Source organism: Homo sapiens, chromosome 6 (genome assembly GCF_000001405.40).
Source record: "Homo sapiens chromosome 6, GRCh38.p14 Primary Assembly".
In the NCBI taxonomy this organism is placed as follows: domain Eukaryota; kingdom Metazoa; phylum Chordata; class Mammalia; order Primates; family Hominidae; genus Homo; species Homo sapiens.
In genome coordinates, this window is record NC_000006.12 from 97782712 (window position 1) to 97797967 (window position 15256).

Sequence of the window (15256 nt, forward strand, 5' to 3'; positions counted from 1 at the left end):
TTCAGGATCTGCGCCTTATCAACCAAATTGTTTTGCCTATCCACCCCATGGTACCAAACCCATATACTCTCCTATCCTCAATACCTGCCTCTACAACCCATTATTCTGTTCTAGATCTCAAACATGCTTTCTTTACTATTCCTTTGCACCCTTATTCCCAGCCTCTCTTCGCTTTCACTTGGACTGACCCTGACACCCATCAAGCTCAGCAAATTACCTAGGCTGTACTGCCGCAAAGCTTCACAGACAGTCCCCATTACTTCAATCAAGCCCAAATTTCTTCCTCATCTGCTACCTATCTCGGCATAATTCTCATAAAAACACACATGCTCTCCCTGCCAATCGTGTCTGACTGATCTCTCAAACCCCAGCACCTTCTATAAAACAACTCCTTTACATCCTAGGCATGGTTGGCACAGTCAGAATTCTTACACAACAGCCACGACCACACCCTGTAGGCTTTCTGTCCAAACAACTTGACCTTACTGTTTTAGCCTAGCCCTCATGTCTGTGTGCAGTGGCTGCCGCTGCTTTAATACTTTTAGAGGCCCTCAAAATCACAAACTATGCTCAACTCACTCTCTACAGTTCTCATAACTTCCAAAATCTATTTTCTTCCTCATACCTGACACATATACTTTTGGCTTCCCAGCTCCTTCAGCTATACTCACTCTTTGTTGAGTCTCCCACAATTACAGTTGTTCCTGGCCGAGACTTCAGTCTGGCCTCCCACATTATTGCTGATACCACACCTGACCCCCATGACTGTATCTCTCTGATCCACCTGACATTCACCCCATTTCCCCAAATTTCCTTCTTTCCTGTTCCTCACCCTGATCACGCTTGATTTATTGATGGCAGTTCCACCAGGCCTAATCGCCACACACCAGCAAAGGCAGGTTATACTATAGTACAAGCCACTAGCCCGCCTCTTAGAACCTCTCATTTCCTTTCCATCGTGGAAATCTATCCTCAAGGAAATAACTTCTCAGTGTTCCATCTGCTATTCTACTACTCCTCAGGGATTATTCAGGCCCCCTCCCTTCCCTACACATCAAGCTGGAGGATTTGCCCCACCCAGGACTGGCAAATTAGCTTTACTCAACATCCCTGAGACAGATAACTAAAATACCTCTTAATCTAGGTAGATACTTTCACTGGATAGGTAGAGGCCTTTCCTACAGGGTCTGAGAAGGCCATCGCAGTCATTTCTTCCGTTCTGTCAGACATAATTCCTCAGTTTAGCCTTCCCACCTCTATACAGTCTGATAACAGACAAGCCTTTATTAGACAAATCAGCCAAGCAGTTTTTCAGGCTCTTAGTATTCAGTGAAACCTTTATATCCCTTACGGTCCTCCGTCTTCAAGAAAAGTAGAATGGACTAAAGGTCTTTTAAAAACACACCTCACCAAGCTCAGCCACCAAAAAGGACTGGACAATACTTTTACCACTTTCCCTTCTCAGAATTCAGGCCTGTCCTCGGAATGCTACAGGGTACAGCCCATTTAAGCTCCTGTATAGACACTCCTTTTTATTAGGCCCCAGTCTCATTCCAGACACCAGACCAACTTAGACTGTGCCCCAAAATCTTGTCATCCCTACTATCTTCTGTCTAGTCATACTCCTATTCACCATTCTAAACTACTCATACATGCCCTGCTCTTGTTTACACTGCCGGTTTACACTGTTTTTCCAAGCCATCACAGCTGATATCTCCTGGTGCTATCCCCAAACTGCCACTCTTAACTCTTGAAGTAAATAAATAATCTTTGCTGGCAGGACTATGCTGAATCTCCTTAGGCACTCTCTAATCAGATATCCTGAGTCGTCCCAATTCTTAGACCTTTTATACCTGTTTTTCTCTTTCTGTTATTCCATTAGTTTCTCAATTCATCCAAAACCGTATCCAGGCTATTACCAATCATTCTATATGACAATTGTTTCTTCTAACATCCCCACAATATCACCCCTTACCACAAGACCTCCCTTCAGCTTAATCTCTCCCACTCTAGGTTCCCACGCCGCCCCTAATCCCGCTTGAAGCAGCCCTGAGAAACATTGCCCATTCTCTCTCCATACCACCCCCCAAAAATTTTCGCCACCCCAACACTTCAACACTATTTTGTTTTATTTTTTGTATTAATATAAGAAGGCAGGAATGTCAGGCCTCTGAGCCCAAGCCAAGCCATCGCATCCCCTGTGACTTGCACCAAGTATACACCCAGATGGCCTGAAGTAACTGAAGAATCACAAAGGAAGTGAATATGCCCTGCCCCACCTTAACTGATGACATTCCACCACAAAAGAAGTGTAAATGGCCGGTCCTTGCCTTAAGTGATGACATTACCTTGTGAAAGTCCTTTTCCTGGCTCATCCTGGCTCAAAAAGCACCCCCACTGAGCACCTTGTGACCCCCACTCCTGCCCGCCAGAGAACAAACCCCCTTTGACTGTAATTTTCCTTTACCTACCCAAATCCTATAAAACGGCCCCACCCTTATCTCCCTTCACTGACTCTCTTTTCGGACTCAGCCCGCCTGCACCCAGGTGAAATAAACAGCCATGTTGCTCACACAAAGCCTGTTTAGTGGTCTCTTCACACGGATGCGCATGAAACCTTTTATCTAAAATATTTTTATTTTATTTCATTTACCAAAGTAATACATAGGGCTGTATTGTATTCAAACTAGAAAAGAGAAAGTAGAAGGCAAGCTTAAATAACGTGTCATAAATAACAAGACAGAATTTTCAGGAAAGATTGGAGACCCGTTGTTTTCTAATTTTACAGAGGGTAAAAGGGAATGAATTGGTAACTATATCATACCAGGTTGATATAAGGTTTAAGAAAACAATTACTTATAAAGTGTTACAGTGAATGCTATGCAAGGACAACTATTGAGTTCACTCTTTTGTAAATCTTAATATGGCTTTGATTTATCTGGAAAGAGTAATAAAATTCTTTTGTCAGGTCTTATTTATTTATTTATTTATTTTTCTGAGATGGAGTCTTGCACTCTCCCCCAGGCTGGAGTGCAGTGGCGCCATCTTGGCTCACTGCAAGCTCCACATCCCGGGTTCACGCCATTCTTCTGCCTCAGCCTCCTGAGTAGCTGGGACTACAGGCGCCTGCCACCACTCCTGGCTAATTTTTCGTATTTTTAGTAGAGATGGGGTTTCACCATGTTAGCCAGGATGGTCTCGATCTCCTGACCTTGTGATCTGCTCGCCTCGGCCTCCCAAAGTGCTGGGATTACAGGCATGAGCCACCGTGCCCGGCCTGTCAGGTCCTCTAAATTCTTTTGACAGTCCTGTAAGTTTCACTTTCTTTCAGTTAGTTTAATTCTACTACTCTATCCAAGTGCATCTTATCTTGTCTATATTATCATCTTATCTTATTAATATCTTATGGTTTGAGAATCAGTCCAGCATGGCCTCTGATATAGATTGTCTAGATTATTGAACTCCCTATATTCCATAACCTGTCCTACAATTTAGTCTCCTAAAACTGTTCCAGTGATTCTTGTTTTCTTACAGACTATGGGGTTCTTTTTCTTTTTAAACAGATTTTATTTTTTAAAGCAGTTTTAGGTTCACAGAAAATTAAGCAGAAAGTAAAGAGAGTCTCATGTACCCACAACCTCCACATGGCCATCTCCAACATCAAAATGGTGTATCTGTAATAACTGAGGAACGTAGTATGATACATCATCATCACTCAAAGTCCATAGTTTACATTAGGGTTCACTCTTGGTGTTATATATACTGGATTTTGACAAATGTATACTGACATGTATCCACTATGATAGTATCGTACAGAATAATTTCCCTGCCCTAAAACTCCTCTCCTATTCATTTCTTCCTCCTACCAACCCCTGACAATCACTGATCTTTTTACTATCAACAGGGTTTTCCCTTTTCCAGAATGTCATATACCTGGAATAATGTGGTTTGTAGTCTCTTCAGACTGACTCTTTTCACTGAATCATATGCATTTATGGTTTTTCCAAGTCTTTTCATGGCTTGATTTTTTTCAGTCCTGAATAATATTGCATTGTCTGGATGTACTACTGTTTATTTATCCATTTACCTACTGAAGGACATTTGGGTTGTTTCCAAGTTATGGCAGTTATGAGTAAAGCTGCCATAAAAATGCATGAACCATTTTTAAGTGAACATAAGTTTTTAACTTCTTTGGGTAAGTACCAAGGCAGGTAATTGCTGAATGGTATGTTAAAAGTATGTTTCATTTTGTAAGAAACTGCCGAATTGTCTTCCAAATTTGCTCCGCCATTTTGTATTCTCATCAGCAATGAAAAAGAGTTTCTATAGATCCACATCTTTGCTAGCTTTTGGTACTGTCAGTGTTCTGGATTTGGGCTATTCTATTAGGCATGTAATGGTAGCACATTTTTGTTTTAATTGGCATTTCCCTAGTGACAGGATGTGGATGTCTTTTTATATGCTTATTTACCATTTGTATATCTTCTTTGGCAAAGTATTTGTTCAGGTCTTTGCCCATTTTTAAATTGGTCTATTTATTTTCTTATCGTTAAGTTTTAAGGTTTTTTTTTAAAAATATTTTGGATAACAATTGTATTAGTCTGTTCTTCAGTTACTACAAATAAATACCTGAGACTGGGTAACTTATAAGAAAAAGAGGTTTAATTGGCTTATGGTTCTGCAGGCTGTACAGGAAACATGATGCTGGAATCTACTTGGCTTCTGGAGAGGTCTCAGGAAACTTACAATGATGGTGGAAAGCAAAAGGGAAGCAGGCACATCTTACATGGTAGGAGCAAGAACAAGAAGCGGGGGTGGGGTTGGGGGGAGGTGCTATACATTTTTAAACAATTCACTCTCTATCTCAAGGACAGTATCAAGGAGATGGTGCTAAACTATGCATGAAGGATCTACCCCTATGATCCAATCACTTCCCACCAGGCCCCACCTCCAACACTGGAGATTACAATTCAACATGAGATTTTGGCAGGGACATATATCCAAACTATATCAACAATCTTGTGCAAATATTTACTGCAAGTCTGTGGCTTGTCTTCTCTTGACTGCTTTTTGCAGAGCAGACATTTTAAATTGAATGAAGTCCAGCTTATCAATTTTCTTTCACAGATCATACCTTTGGTATAGTATCTAAATGTCGTGTTCCTACATAAGGTCATCTAGCTTTTCTTCTATATTATCTTCCAGGAGTTTTATAGTTTAATATTTTACATATAGGTCTGTGATCCATTTTGAGTTAATTTTTGGAAAGGATGTAAGGTCTGTGTCTATGTTCATTTTTCCTTTTTGCATGCGGATGTGCAGCTCTTCTAGCACCATTTGTTAAAAGACTGTCTTTACTCCATTACATTGCCTTTGCTTCTTTGTCCAAGATCAGCTGACTATACTTATGTGGGTCTCTTTCTGAGCTCTCTTTTCTGTTCCATTGATGTGTTATCTGTTCTTTTACCAATACCGCATTGTCTTGATAACTGCAGTTTAATAGTAAGTCCTGAGTTGGGGTAGTGGTTGCCCTTCAACTTTGTTCTTATTCTTCAGTATTGTGGGTATTCTTAGTCTTTTGGCTTATCATTGCTGAGATTATGATTGAGACTGCATTGAATCTATAATCAATTTTGGAAGAGGTGACATCTTGACAATATTGAGTCTTCCTAACCATGAACATGCAACATATTTCTGTTTATTTAGTTCTTTGGTTTCTTTCATCTGAGTTTTGTAGTTTCCTTCATATAATTCTATTTATATTTTGATAGATTTTTACCTATTTTTTTCTTTTACCTATTTTCTTTTCTTCAACCCCACTATAATCTCTTATTAGTTACAGTTTTTTTTTGTTGTTGACTCTTGAATTGTATACATAGACAATCATGTCTGCAAACAAAGACAACTGAATTTTTTTTTCTTCTCAGTCTATATACCCTTTTTTTTGTTTGTTTTATTGCATTAGCTAGGACTTCCAGTATGACATTGAAAAAGAGTGGTGAGAGAAGATATTTTTGCCTTTTGACAATCTAGGTGTTTGGTGGATATTCTGCATCCAGTTGAAGAAGTTCCCCTCTAGTCCTAGTTTGCTTACATCTGTGGGTTTTTAATATGGAGTATTTGATTATAGATTCCATGGATTATAGATTACAGATTATAGATTCCATGGATGTGCTTGAAATATTTGTTAGCTCCCTAGAAGTTTATGTGCACATGCATTTTCCCATGGAGAAAGTTTAAAGTGTTAGGAGATTCTTATGTGAAATTCTACTCATGCACTTTTTACTGTTAACCTGTTTTCTAACTTAATGCCTTCTTGAATCTAGAGCTTCCTTAGAAATACACTTCACGTAATTCGTCTTGGGCTGAATCCATGATAAAATAGACAGGAGTGACCATTTATTTGTACCTATTTAGTTGCTTCAGACTTTGCTGTGGCTCTGTTTATGCCACTTCCGACCCATTTTGTCAGGGGAGCAATAGCAGACACAAGTATTTTCCCCTCAAAATTTTTCATGTTTCTTCTAGTTAGTAGCCAGAATTAGTTAGTACTAAATTTGGTATTTCTTAGTGAGACTGCCAAGTTGAATCTAGGTGGTAAGTACCTCCTTTAGCTTCTTTTTTCTTTTTTAATTTTTTAAGTCTAGAAGATGACTACAGGGAAGCAGTTTTATAAGGTGACCTATTTCAGGAATTAGATTGGTATGTTTGCATCTATTAAAATTTATATTTGGCTACTCATGCTATTTTATATTAAGAATGTGTTTATTTCACTAAAGTTATTTTTATAGCTTGCTGATACCTTATGAATGATTTATCCCCTTAATTCTTTAATGCAACTTATAATTTAAAAATTTCTACCCAATATCTATACCAAATCAGTTTCACCAAGTATCAGTTAGCTTTAATTGTTCAGCTTTATGCTTATTTTTGACAATTCTCTTGTGAGAATCTGTTCAACTTTTTAGTGAGGTTCAAAATCATCATGTTGGTAACCAGTAAGTTATTGCTTGAAATTGTGTAGTTCACTATTTTAATTCCCCTGCTGGCCTCCCTACCTATCCTTCTCCTAGGAAGACAGCTTTTAGGAGTGATGGGGAAGCTTCAATTTGGGTTCAGTATACAAGCCAGCAGATTAGAAGTGCTTTCCATCTGTTTGAGCTACTACAATTGCTCATAATGTAATAACTGCAAAACCTACTAAATGGTCTTCCTGTCTCTAGTCTTTTCACCTGCAAATATCTTTTCTGCAATGCTACAGGAAAAAAGCATTGGTCTAAAAGCTAAGGTCTAAATCTGTGTTCTTCATATTTTTCACTGACTTTCTGTCAGTTTATAACACTCAAAAATTTCCATTCCCCACCCACAAACCTATCCAGCCTTAACTTTCCCCACTCTTTAAATCCACTTGTCTTTTGGCATCTAGAACTGATTGTACTCTCTCACTCTATACTCACCATGCCATTGTTCATGCTATTCTTTCTGCCTAGATATCTTTCCTTCTGGCACTACCTTTCTCCAACTATTTCTCCAACAGTTGCCTACAATTAACACTCGGAATCTCTTCCAATATTTTTTTTTCTGAGCCCACCCAGGCCAAGTTACATTTCTTCCTCTTCAAATCCTTAGTACCCAGTTACCCACTTATCTCCTGTAGTGGATTACACAGTTCCCAAGATGAAAGATCATTTCTTTCTTATTGTTCTTTGTATTCTCAATGCAATATTTGTTCAAAAATGGTTTGTTGACTTGATTTCCATGCCTACCTTGCTGTAATGTCTGGATATTTTCATGGAGAGAACTGGGAGGCGGAGTTGAACAAAAGCTTCTTCAACAGAATATTTGGGCTTAAATCCTCTCTGCTAAGAGACATTGGAGATATTATCTAATATCTTTATGTTTCTACCTCTTATCAATTAGATAAACCTTTCCTTTCATAATTCATGCTATGAAAGTAAGACGAAACACATTCTTACGACGAGTTGAATTAAATGCATAGCTTTGCGTTCGTATGCAAAGAAATGGTTAGAACTTCTTCCTTAGATATCTAATTATCAGATATTTTAAACCAACTTATGAAAATGTTTTGAAAGTTTTAAAAAATCCTATATAATTGTGACACAGGATTTTTTCCATGCCTCTTCTCCAGCCAGAAACCTCTGTGGCCAGCAGGGCCTCTGCTTGAGTTTTGCTCACAACCACTGGGCTGGCTGCACCAACTCAGCCTGGCAGGCTATGCTCAGCTCACACTACTGGCCCAGCTACCACGCCCGCTGCAGGTGAGCCAGGCGTGAAGCAGCAAAGAGTGTGTGAGCAAGTGGACGTGGGGACCAGCCATAGCACACAGCCAGGAGCACCAGCACAGGCGCGAGCAATGTGGGAGGCTGTGGCTGGACCAGGTGTGCCTCAAGTGGCTTCCGCCTTGGGCGCCAGCATCTGGATGAGGTGAGCGAGGTGGTGCCTGAAAACTTGGAGACGCCAGCGACCATGGAGCCCCAAGGGGGTGTTACATTGTGTCCCAGCTCTGTCTGAGGGAGCCCCAAGGTCTGGGCCCCCAGAGTGTCACAGCTCTTGTCTCACACTCTGGTGATTGGGTGTGTGTCACTGCCCTAAGCTTGGTGGGCTGGCCAGGAACGTGTTTCAGCTTGCTCGTGTTACAGCTCATTCCATCCTGCTATCCCACTCCAGCCCATGGCTCCTGGGCTGACCCAGCCCCACCGCTGCTTCCTGTCATGTGGGACAGCCACCCGGCACCGGCGGAAGGTGGGAGGACTACAGTGTTACAGCGTCTTTAGTAGGTCCTGGGTTCTTGTTCTGTGTCCAAGAAGAATGAGGTTACGTTGACAACCGAAGAGAGAGAAGGTGGAGAAGAGATTTATTGAGCCACAGAACAACTCTTAGTGGAGAGAGGACCCGAAGTGGGTAGCCTCTACCCCAAGACGGGTAGTCTCCACATGTGGCTCAGTCCGGAGCTTTTATGGGCTCAGAATGGGGGAGTGAGTACTGATTAATCCGTGGGTAGGCCTGGAAAAAGCACCATTTGATTGGACAAAAGGTATCGAGGAAGTTCTTACTCTGCTCTAGGACTTTACCTGGAACTGGCAGCTTGATTTTCAGGCTTCAGGCTGTCTTTGGCTTGAAGGTCAGGTTTCACCAGGGACCCTCCCCTGTCTGCTTACGAATTTGTCTACCTCCTGCCACTATCAATTACAAGGAACTATTAGTGTTATTGGTATGTTTTATTATTATTTTACTACTCATTCTGAGGTTCAGTTTCTGAGATACTGGCCTTTATATTAGGTTTTATTATATTGACTTCTGATGCTTTTGCAAAATTCTTTTTGCTTTCTGTAATGGTTAATTTTATATGTCAATTATATATATAATTTTATATGTCGTGTTTGGGCCATGATTCCAAGATATTTGGTCAAATATTAGTCTAAATGTTGCAGTGAAGATATTTTTTAGATTAGATTAGATGTTAATTAGATGTTAATCAAATCTAAAACATACCTTCAGTGCAACATCTAGACTGGTATTATTTAGATGGTATTAATTATAATTTACAAACTGAGGTGAATAATAAATAGAATTTTTTTCCATAACTGGACTTTCTGTCATAGGCCAGAATACAATAAATACCAGAATTGTAGTTCTAGCTCAGAACTTCTCTCCTTCAGGAGTCTAATTTAGAGAGAGGAACATCAAGGACAGGAGGCATTGGGTTCTCAGTTGTCATGTTCCTCACTGTAGTCCATGGAGCTATTTTCAATCCTCTCTAATCTTTGAACTGATGACCACTGAACTTTTCTTGCCCTGTCTTCTTGGCTTCATCAGATCCACCTTCTTACTTGATCTACCCTCAGAATTCCAGAATAAAAGAACAATAGTGTAGGCATTGTGATTAGTGTCTTAAACATAAAATGAAGCCCTATTTCTCACCTCCACTCCTAATTTTCTGTTATTAGCCTTTGTCTGGATGAATATTTATTTGTTCTAATATTTTAAATTATTCTCTCTATTTTTGATTAGATGTGTCTGTGGTAAACATCATATGGCTGAATTTTGTTTTCTATCCTTTTTGAGTTTTTCCTAAGGAGAAAATTTTCTGTCTTTACACATCATATCTGATATGATTGTCTTCTGACATGTTTCAGACTTTCTTTTTTTATACTCTTGACTCTTTCATTCTTGCTTTTCTTTTCTTTTTCTTTTCTTTTTTTTTTTTTTGAGACCGTGTCTTGATGGAGTGTGGTGGCATGACCATGGCTCACCGCAGATTCAACTTCTCAGATTCAAGCAGTCCTCCCACCTTAGCCGCTAGTAGGTGGGACTATAGGTGCATGCCAGCACACCTGGATGATTTTTTGTTTTTTTTGCAGAGACAGAGGTCTTACTACATTGCCAAGGCTGGCCTCGAACTCCTGGGCTCAAGCAATCCTCCTATCTCTGTCTCCCAAAGTGCTGGGATTACGGGTGTGAACCACCACACCAGGTCCTCTTGCTTTTTTGTTTTTAGAAATTTTTATCTACATGTTTTAATTTCTTCTTCTAGAAGTCAGAAACAATACCAATCAACTGTCCCCCACATCTCTACCTTAAAAGATAAAAAAATTAATATGAAATTTATGACTATATTCTTCTTACCTACTGCAATTTTTGTTAATAGGATGTTGGCATTAAAATGTTACTTTTTTTTTTTTTACAACTGAATTATATCTTACAACTATTTCTTTAATATGATGATTCTTGAGGCATCTATGCTTATTAATCTTAGTCAACTGAAATACACTGTATGTTTTAAAGAGGAGTTCATGGTTAGTATACTCCTTAAATTTTTGTGTGCTTGAAAATTTCTTTTATTTCTTTGTTAAAATGACGTTTTGGTTAAGTATACAATATTTGGTTAAGAGTTATTTAAGTATAAACATCACATTATTATCAACTAATGTCTAGAGTTACTAAGAATATTCTTGTAACTTGATTGCTTCCAGGATAATTATATACAGTGAATAGAGAATGACCTCATGGAGAGAATTCATAATGTCATACAACATTTTGTTATGTCAAATACACAAGTAGAAAATAACTATAAAATCAGATCACAAAATGATACACAGTATCTGCTTACTGTCATCACAGAGTAGGTACATTGAAATAAGAATATGCCTTCTTTTCTTTTCACTTATATTTCACTTTTCAGTATGAATTCCAGTGGTCTCTGGAATTAGCCAGTGGTATAAGGGGGACTGTCTAGAGTTAATGGGTAGAACTTTCAAGTAACGCTGGTTTTACTGTGAAACAAATGTGGAAATAAAGAATGCAGGCATCTGAACCACATGGCCACATTTCTTGGAATCTGGGGAGAGCTTTACAACAAAAGTTTCCAGGAGGAACTGTTTCTAGAGTAGCACTGGACATCACAGTCTAATCACAAATAGGAAAAGTGAGGATCATTCAGGATTCAATTCAATGTAAATATCAGGATCTCTAAATACATCTTTGAAAACAGGGACCCCTTGATTTTCTACTATTCTTTGAATTCATCCAATTCTTTTACAATTTCTTTTTCTAAGCTTCATAACTTCACCACTATGTGACCATATGCAACTTATTTAACAACTTTATGTTTCAGTGCCTTCATTTAAAAATAGAGATAGTAATAGAACCTACTACATATGCAAGATAATGTATAAAATATGCTTAGTAATAAGTTTGGGATATAGTAAGCATTCAACAGAATCAGCTTTTACCTATGCCAAGATCCTAGATTGCTCTGTACCATGCTTAGGGGAGGAGGGTATACAAGTAAGAAGCCAGGGAAATGAAGCCTTTCTTAAACCTTTGACTTTAATTGTCTGTACATAAAGGATGTTTTAAAAATTTGACAATTATATTGATGTGTTAGAAAACTATTATCATATGGTTCCCAAGCAAAGATGGCCAAATAGGAACAGCTCCAGTCTACAGCTCCCAGCATGAGTGACGCAGAAGATGAATGATTTCTGCATTTCCAACTGAGGTACTGGGTTCATCTCACTGAGGATTGTCAGACAGTGGGTGCAGGACAGTGGGTGCAGTGCACTGAGCATGAGCCGAAGCAGGGTGAGGCATTACCTCACCCGAGAAATGCAAGGGGTCAGGGAATTCCCTTTCCTAGCCAAGGAAAGGGGTGACAGACGGCACCTGGAAAATCGGGTCACTCCCACCCTGATACTGTGCTTTTCTGATAGTCTTAGCAAACGGCACAACAGGAGATTATATCCTGCACATAGCTCAGAGGGTCCTATGCCCACAGAGCCTCGCTCTTTGCTAGCACAGCAGTCTGAGATCAAACTGCAAGGTGGCAGTGAGGCTGGGGGAGGGGTGCCCGCCATTGCTGAGGCTTGAGTAGGTAAACAAAGCGGCTGGGAAGCTCGAACAGGGTGGAGCCCACTGCAGCTCAAGGAGGCCTCCCTGCCTCTGTAGACTCCACATCTGGGGGCAGGGCGTAGCCAAACAAAAGGCAGCAGAAACCTCTGCAGACTTAAATGTCCCTGTCTGACAGCTTGGAAGACAGTAGTGGTTCTCCCAGCACGCAGCTTGAGATCTGAGAATGGACAGACTGCCTCCTCAAGTGGGTCCCTGACCCCCGAGTAGCCTAACTGGGAGGCACCCCCCAGTAGGGGCAGACTGACACCTCACACGGCCAGATACTCCTCTGAGACAAAACTTCCAGAGGAACGATCAGGCAGCAACATTGGCTGTTCAGCAATACTCGCTGTTCTGCAGCCTCTGCAGCTGATACCCAGGCAAACAGGGTCTGGAGTGGACCTCCGGCAAACTCCAACAAACCTGCAGCTGAGGGTCATGACTGTTAGAAGGAAAACTAACAAACAGAAAGGACATCCACACCAAAACCCCATCTGTACGTCACCATCATCAAAGACCAAAGGTAGATAAAACCACAAAGATGGGGAAAAAACAGAGCAGAAAAACTAAAAATTCTAAAAATCAGAGTACCTCTCCTCCTCCAAAGGAACGCAGCTCCTCACTAGCAACGGAACAAAGCTGGATGGAGAATGACTTTGACTAGTTGAAAGAAGAAGGCTTCAGACGATCAAACTTCTCCGAGCTAAAGGAGGAAGTCTGAACCCATAGCAAAGAAGTTGAAAAACTTGAAAAAAGATTAGATGAATGGCTAACTAGAATAACCAATGCAGAGAAGCCCTTAAAGGACCTGATGGAGCTGAAAACCATGGCACAAGAACTATGTGACAAATGCACAAGCCTCAGTAGCCGATTCGATCGACTGGAAGAAAGGGTATCAGTGATGGAAGATGAAATGAATGAAATGAAGTGAGAAGAGAAGTTTAAAGAAAAAAGAATACAAAGAAATTAATAAAGCCTCCAAGAAATATGGGACTATGTGAAAATACCAAATCTATTTCTGATTGGTGTACCAGAAAGTGACGGGGAGAATGGAACCAAGTTGGAAAACACTCTGCAGGATATTATCCAGGAGAACTTCCCCAATCTAGCAAGGCAGGCCAACATTCAAATTCAAGAAATACAGAGAATGCCATAAAGATACTCCTCGAGAAGAGGAACTCTAAGACACATAATTGTCAGATTCACCAAAGTTGAAATGAAGGAAAAAACGTTAAGGGCAGCCAGAGAGAAAGGTCGGGTTACCCACAAAGGGAAGCCCATCAGACTAACAGCTGATTTCTCGGCAGAAACTCTACAAGCCAGAAGAGAGTGGGGACCAATATTCAACATTCTTAAAGAAAAGAATTTTCAACCCAGAATTTCATACCCAGCCAAACTAAGCTTCATAAGTGAAGGATAAATAAAATACTTTAGAGACAAGCAAATGCTGAGAGATTTTGTCACCACCAGGCCTGCCCTACAAGAGCTCCTGAAGGAAGCACTAAACATGGAAAGGAACAACTGGTACCAGCCACTGGAAAAACATGCGAAATTGTAAAGACCATCAATGCTAGGAAGAAACTGCATCAACTAATGAGCAAAATAACCAGCTAACATCATAATGACAGGATTAAATTCACACATAACAATATTAACCTTAAATGTAAATGGGCTAAATACTCCAATTAAAAGACCCAGACTGGCAAATTGTATAAAGAGTCAAGACCCATCAGTGTGCTGTATTCAGGAAACCCATCTCACATGCAGAGACACACATAGGCTCAAAATAAAGGGATAGAGGAAGATCTACCGAGCAAATGGAAAACAAAAAAAGGCAGGGGTTGCAATCCTAGTCTCTGATAAAACAGACTTTAAACCAACAAAGATCAAATGAGACAAAGAAGGCCATTACATAATGGTAAAGGGATCAATTCAACAAGAAGAACGAACTATCCTAAATATATATGCACCTAATACAGGAGCACCCAGATTCATAAAGCAAGCCCTTAGAGACCTACAAAGAGACTTAGATTCCCACACAATAATAATGGGAGACTTTAACACCACACTGTCAACATTAGACAGATCAACGAGACAGAAAGTTAACAAGGATATCCAGGAATTGAACTCAACTCTGCACCAAGAAGACCTAATACACATCTACAGAACTCTCCACCCCAAATCAACAGAATATACATTCTTCTCAGCAGCACACCACACGTGATCCAAAATTGACCACATAGTTGGAAGTAAAGCACTCCTTAGCAAATGTAAAAGAACAGAAATTATAACAAACTGTCTGTCAGACCACAGTGCAATCAAACTAGAACTCAGGATTAACAAACTCACTCAAAACTGCTCAACTACATGGAAACTGAACAACCTGCTCCTGAATGACTACTGGGTACATAATGAAATGAAGGCAGAAATAAAGATGTTCTTTGAAAACAATGAGAACAAATACAGAACATACCAGAATCTCTGGGACATATTTAAAACAGTGTGTAGAGGGAAATTTATAGCACTAAATGCCCACAAGAGAAAGCAGGAAAGATCTAAAATTGACACCCTAGCATCACGATTAAAAGAACTAGAGAAGCAAGAGCAAACACTTTCAAAAGCTAGCAGAAGGCAAGAAATAACTAAGATCAGACCAGAACTGAAGGAGATAGAGACACAAAAAACCCTTCAAAAAATCAATGAATCCAGGAGCTGGTTTTTTGAAAAGATAACAAAATTGATAGACCACTAGCAAGACTAATAAAGAAGAAAAGAGAGCAGAATCAAATAGACACAATAAAAAATGATAAAGGAGATACACCACCGATCCCACAGAAATACAAAC

The 15256-nt window shown here is 39.9% G+C and overlaps 2 annotated features.

Annotated features, from left to right (window-relative positions):
- Nucleotides 1430-2221: an enhancer, noted in NCBI's record as "OCT4-NANOG-H3K27ac hESC enhancer chr6:98232017-98232808 (GRCh37/hg19 assembly coordinates)". NCBI's record gives its function as "activates a minimal SCP1, AML or CMV promoter by ChIP-STARR-seq in naive and primed H9 embryonic stem cells {active_cell/tissue: H9 hESC(naive and primed)}" and the evidence as "EXISTENCE:reporter gene assay evidence [ECO:0000049][PMID:30033119]".
- Nucleotides 2222-3013: an enhancer, noted in NCBI's record as "OCT4-NANOG-H3K27ac hESC enhancer chr6:98232809-98233600 (GRCh37/hg19 assembly coordinates)". NCBI's record gives its function as "activates a minimal SCP1, AML or CMV promoter by ChIP-STARR-seq in naive and primed H9 embryonic stem cells {active_cell/tissue: H9 hESC(naive and primed)}" and the evidence as "EXISTENCE:reporter gene assay evidence [ECO:0000049][PMID:30033119]".